Genomic DNA, 6,150 nt, shown 5'->3' on the forward strand with positions numbered 1-6,150 from the left:
TTTGCCCCTGGTGAGCTGTTTGTAATTAATGCGTGCTTTGTGGTTTTAATCTTTCTTTAATCTGTAAAGCTATAAAAATTTACAGCTCAATTTTAGAATCAAGAAAAAAGCTAAATTGCACAGCTCAGTCCTTAAAGTTAACCATTTCACAAGATCACAATTGCAAGGAGAGTGTCCGCAGAGGCTCTTCCTGTGCTGTTCCATTATCTTTTCTCAGTGGTCTTGTTTTGTCCCTTATCCAGAAGTCACTGGAAACAGGAGAACCATCTCTCTACCTGTTTCTGTCTCACAAACACACACAGTGCCCCAAAGAAAATAAACAATACAGTACATGGTCTATAAAGCAAAGGGAAGAAAAGAACATCTTAGGTAAATACCAGACTACTTATTTTATGATTTTTAAATGTCATTTTTGCTCCAATATTGACTTTTTTTACGGAGGATGAATTATAGATCCTGCAGCACTGGGAGAGACCAGGGTTTCCTTTCTTAGACACAGCTGGTCAAGTTAAGAATTGAAGTCGTGGTAATTAGTTACGAGTTTCTTAGTATGGAAGTCCAGACTGCTGAGAGAACCCTGCGAGGTGACCCCTCCGGGGAAGACAATACACCCGGGAAAGGACCGGAATGGGCAACGAAGAAGCACAAAACAACATCCCAATCTTGTTGCTACAAACAGATGTTGCCGCGGGCGCTCGCTTGCAAGAACGAAATACAATACAATCCCTCATTTGTCTGACCAGGTTTCTCTCTCCAAGAATTGGTTTCGAGGCAAATTATTTCAGGGTTGCACAGGCTGGTAAAAGGCAGTGGAATTGGAAGCTATCGTCCTTGGCGACCTCAAGTCTCAGAAATGATGCTGTGAAAGTGAAAGGGGTTGATCAGGGGTCAGGGGGAGACTTGGAGCCAGAAACCAGGTCACAAGGAAGGAGGGGGCGGCCAGACTTCCAAGAAGAGGTTTTGAGAAACTAGCTAGAGGGAGCGGGTGTGAATTAAGATTCCTGGAAGGAGGTCATGGGAGGCTAAGGGGGAAAGAAAGAGAAAACTAAGTTAGTATCAACCCTGCCCTTCCCGAGATTTTGATTGTTCTCTCAGTGCCTATACAGACAGAGAAATGCAGGCTTAAAGAAATGGAGATTGCATTAGGGAAATTCAATTTGCCAAGACAAAAAGAAGTTCATTCAGATGAAAAGGGGTTAGGATTTGGTGAGGGGAAAGCCCTTTTGTTTTGTTTAGAAGAGTTTGTTTTTTTGTTTTTGTTTTTGTTTTTTAATAAAGTGTATATTAACTTGCCCTATTTTCCAACTTGCTTGTGAAGCCAAGTGAGTCAACTGTATTCTTATATGTTTTGCCAAAAAACATTATTATTCTATTAGAAGTTAAAGGCAAACACTACTACAAACCTGTAATTACTTAAATCTTGAATTTATTGCTCTCCATCTATTTTCCTTAATCTAACTGCTTCTATAACAATAAGCCATTATTGTTGTTGTTGTTGTTTTAGAGATAGTGTCTCGCTCTGTCACCCAGGCTGGAGTGCAGTGGCACTAACATACCTCACTGTAACCTTGAACTCTGGGGCTCAAGGGATCCTCTGGCCTCAGCCTCCCACGTAGCTGGGACTACAGGCATGTGCCACCACACCTGGAGAAAAGTTTTTAATTTTTTTAAATTAATTTTTTAGCTTTTTGTAGGAAGGAGGTCTTGCTATGTTGCCCAGGCTGGTCTTGAATTACTGGCCTCAAGCGATCCTCCCACCTCGACCTCCCAGAACACTGGGATTAAAAGCATGAGCATAAGAAGCCATTTTGAGGGCAAGCAATACTACTGAGAATAGATATTTGTTGAAAACCAGTTGTATGCCTAGCACTGCATTTGTAACAATAATACTAACCAGTGCCTATATAGCACATCTATCTATCTATCTATCTATCTATCTATCTATCTATCTATCCATCTATCTACCTATCATCATATATCTATGCTAGGTGCCAGGCTTATTTTATGAGGTCTACATGTAATATTAACCCCATGACAACCCTATAATATAGGTACTATTTTTACCTGCTCTTTACAGATGAGAAAACCATGGCTCAGTGAAGTTAATGACTTGCCCCAAAATTATGTAGCTAGCGAGTGACAGAACCAGTGTTTCGGTCAGACTGCTGGGTTTCAGAGTCTGGGCTGCCAACCATGACACTCATTTCTTTTCATGGTAATTTCATGCCTTTCAAAGTAGGTAGTGTTATCATCATTCCCAGATAAAGAGATTGAGATTCAGAGATTAAATAATTTAACCAAGATTGCCTAGTAAGTGGGAAAGCCAGAATTCAAATCCAAGCCTATTGGAATCCCATCTTGGAGGGAGAGCAGTAGCTGAAATGCTTTAGACCTGTGCGTTTTAAACTTTAACGTACACACAGATTGCCTGGGGATCTTGTTAAATGCAGGTTATGATTCCATAGGTCTAGAGTGGGGCCTAATATTCTGCATTTCCAACAAGCTACCAGTTGATATTGATGTTGCTGTACCATAGGACAACACTTTGCAAAGTAAGGCTTTAAGAGCTAGGAGCCATAAAACAGAAGGTGTTTCTAAGCTGTTCCCCCATCCTTGCTCTGGTGAACATGGAGGTGGCAAATTTAGCTTGGGATTCTGCAGTTTAAAATAAACTCACTATTTTCTTTCCTTAATCATCATATACTGCCATTGAGATTCAGGGAGTTTCTTTCATAAGTGTAACCACTTATACTCTTTTTGATTTAAAAAAAAACCATGTCATTATTAGATTCATCCTAAATGTCACCACTTTCTTCATAAAATATCTCTTTAAATTTCTTTTACATACATGCATTCCCCTTCGATTTGCACTTATGTCCTTTTGTTCTGATCTACCTAATAAACTCAAACTGATCATCAACCAAAAATTTATGACATGTTGAATTTAATACTTCATTCAGATTGTTTCCTAATCACCTACTTTTAGAACTAAATCTGGAATCCAATTTTGTCCATTTCTCTTCAATCAGAAGATCCTTCATTTGGTTAGTTATCTTGAATTTCCTGTGGAATTTGTACCCTCCAACTTATGTCTGTCTTTCTTTTCTCTATAAACACCATAACTAGATTCTGAACCTCAAATCTATATGTCAACTGTGGCCTACCCAACCCCCTAGAAGGCAATAGAACAATATCTTGGAATTTATGATTTATGCCAAGCCCCCTTGTCAGCCTCACTTCTACTGCCAACTGAGCTGAAAATTGAAATTCTGGTTCAGTCTGTAGAGTCAGACTCTGTTCTTCTGTTGTGTTAACTAATTCATTGCTAACCTTAGCTGCAGTGTTGTGCTTACTCAAGAGCATCTCATACTAAAGACTTTAAATGTCATTTACAATCTCTTTATTCCTTTCCCTCATTGATCAAACTTATCCAGAGCAACAATTATTTCCTTCTGGGTGCTAATTTTTTCCTCCATTTCATGGCACTTTCAAACAAAGCTTGCAGGCACACTGCAATCCTTCATTAACTGAAAACATGCAAAGTGCACAAGCCCTTCCAATGGAAAGTGCAATGCAAAAGCCAAATGAGGTAAATTGCATTACTTGACCGGCCCTGGGACAGTTTAAAGAGTGTTACATATTAATACGCTGCCAAGTCTCAAGATGATGGGAAGATTCTCATCAGAACCCAAGGCAGTTATTGAAGAGGAGACCACCCCTGCTGCACACAAATGCAGTCTTGCTGATAATCACTGATGGACTTATGATGAAAAATAATAAAAAATATTGTTCAATGGGGGAAAAATGATAGAAGAGGTCAACCAGGGTCACCATGGCTAGGCATCCCCTCAACTAATTTCTAATTAATACATTCATGATCTTTGTTTATAGCCACTCATTTCATTTTATCATCATGCCTAGTATATGTGTAACTGTTTGTATTTGAAATTATTACCCTTGCTATATTGTGTACCTTACTATATTCTGTCACCTAGAAATTCTGTCTCACCATAATTTATTTCTCTGGCCGTAATATGTTTGAATTACAGTTATCCTAGGGAGTTTCTTTTGGTTATGCCTACAGAGGTGGAGCAGCAGTACGGGAAGACAATTGCAGACAAAAGTCACAGCTTTTAAAAATCCATCCACGGTATTAAGAAAGGAGTTCCTGGCCAGGCGCTGTGGCTCACGCCTGTAATCCCAGCACTTTGGGAGGCCGAGGCGGGCAGATCACGAGGTCAGGAGATGGAGACCATCTTGGCTAACACGGTGAAACCCCGTCTCTACTAAAAATACAAACAATTAGCCGGGCGTGGTGGCAGGCGCCTGTAGTCTCAGCTATTCGGGAGGCTGAGGCAGGAGAATGGCATGAACCCGGGAGACGAAGCTTGCAGTGAGCCGAGATTGCACCACTGCACTCCAGCCTGGGTGACAAAGGGAGACCCTGTCTCAAAAAAAAAAAAAAAAATGTTCCTGGAATAATTTTGAGTCACTCTGTGCCTCGTTCCTGACTCCTGCCTTCCATAGCTGTAATGTCTTCAGTTCCTGACTCAGCTTTTCCCTGGACTTTGGAATTCTGATTGCCCTTGGAACAGTTTTTTTTTTTTTTTTTTTTTTTTTTTTTTGAGATGGAGTCTCACTCTGTCGCCAGGCTGGAGTGCAGTGGCGCGATCTCAGCTCACTGCAACCTCCGCCTCCTGGGTCCAAGTGATTCTCCTGCCTCAGTCTTCCAAGTAGCTGGGACTACAGGCATGTGCCACCACACCCGGCTAATTTTTGTATTTTTAGTACAGATGAGGTTTCACCGTGTTGGCCAGAATGGTCTCAATCTCATGACCTCGTGATCCGCCTGCCTCGATCTCCGAAAGTGCTGGGATTGCAGGCCTAAGCCACAGCGCCTGGCCATCCTTGGAACAGTTTTGCCCCTTATTGGGAACTCCCAAAACTAATTGCTCAGCTCACTGCCCAAGGGGCTGACTTTTCTGGATTGCAGAGCACACATGATCGTGTAGCCCTCACAATTGAATGTTCATGTCCCTGGACTTTGGCTCTGTCCAGGCTCCGTGATCACACTGGGTGCAACAATTTGGTTATTTTAAAAATGGAAAGTACCCCCAAAACTTTAAGGTTAGGTTGACTTCTACAATATCAATTCATCTTCATTTAGGAAATGTCTGCTAAGTTGTCTTACCATGTTAAGACTAATCTTGAACCAGACGTGGGGGCTCACGCCTTAATCCCAGCACTTTGGGAGGCAGAGGCGGGCAGATGTCTTGAGCTCAGGAGTTTGAGACCATCCTGGCCATCACGGTGAAATTCCGTCACTACAAAAATACAAAAATTAGCCGAGTGTGGTGGAACGTCCCTGGAGTCCCAGCTACTCTGGAGGCTGAGGTGGGAGGATCGCTTGAACTAGGGAGGCAGAGGTTGCAGTGAGCCAAAATTGCACCACTGCACTCCAGCCTGGGTGACAGAGTGAGACCCTATTCCCCCAACCAAAAAAAGACTAATCTTGTTTGGGTGCATCTTGCCTGCTGGAGTTGTCTGAGTGACCACCAGCATTGCCCTCAGCCCTCTGAATGACTGATTCACATCACCGTTCTGCTCTTCTGCATATGCAAACCTCAGGAAGGAGTCCCAACGTGGGGAACTAAAGACGCATTAAATGCCTTCATGGGGTCAGGGAAGAGTGGCCAACGTTAATGTGCTCAGGTCCCTGCTCTTTTTTCACGCCTCTTCTCTATTGTGCTGCAAGCATCATGTCTGCAGGAATGTGTTGTGACCAGAATACACAATACAGATCCCACAGCATGTGACTGACAGCGTTATTTAGTCAGTGGTCCAAAAAGAACCCTAGCCAACATCTCTAGAGCCCAGGAAAGCCATGAGATCCTGGAGGCAATTATTACAATCAGTGTGTTCCTCCCTCCTGTAGATGACAGTAAAAATGGTATTTAGAAAACACCTTGGCTGTTGCTTCTGAATTGAGAAAGCCCCTCTACAGATATCTCAAAGGGGCTGTGAACTCTGCCCCAAATATCCCTCTGCCCCTCTCACCAGAACCTGTTAAGTTCTCCATGTCTCCAAGTTCAGCAGTGACAGGAGAGTGGTGCATCCCTATTGTCACCTTTTGACTGATTCTTTTGTCTA

At 42.4% G+C, this 6,150-nt stretch overlaps 2 annotated features.

The window, feature by feature from the left end:
• Positions 812 to 1,313: an enhancer, noted in NCBI's record as "NANOG hESC enhancer chr18:22442499-22443000 (GRCh37/hg19 assembly coordinates)". NCBI's record gives its function as "activates a minimal SCP1, AML or CMV promoter by ChIP-STARR-seq in naive H9 embryonic stem cells {active_cell/tissue: H9 hESC(naive)}" and the evidence as "EXISTENCE:reporter gene assay evidence [ECO:0000049][PMID:30033119]".
• Positions 5,151 to 5,332: a silencer, noted in NCBI's record as "fragment chr18:22446838-22447019 (GRCh37/hg19 assembly coordinates)". NCBI's record gives its function as "represses an EF-1alpha promoter that drives an FKBP-Casp9 reporter gene in an ReSE screen in HepG2 liver carcinoma cells {active_cell/tissue: HepG2}" and the evidence as "EXISTENCE:reporter gene assay evidence [ECO:0000049][PMID:32094911]".

Source organism: Homo sapiens, chromosome 18 (genome assembly GCF_000001405.40).
Source record: "Homo sapiens chromosome 18, GRCh38.p14 Primary Assembly".
Lineage (NCBI taxonomy): Eukaryota > Metazoa > Chordata > Mammalia > Primates > Hominidae > Homo > Homo sapiens.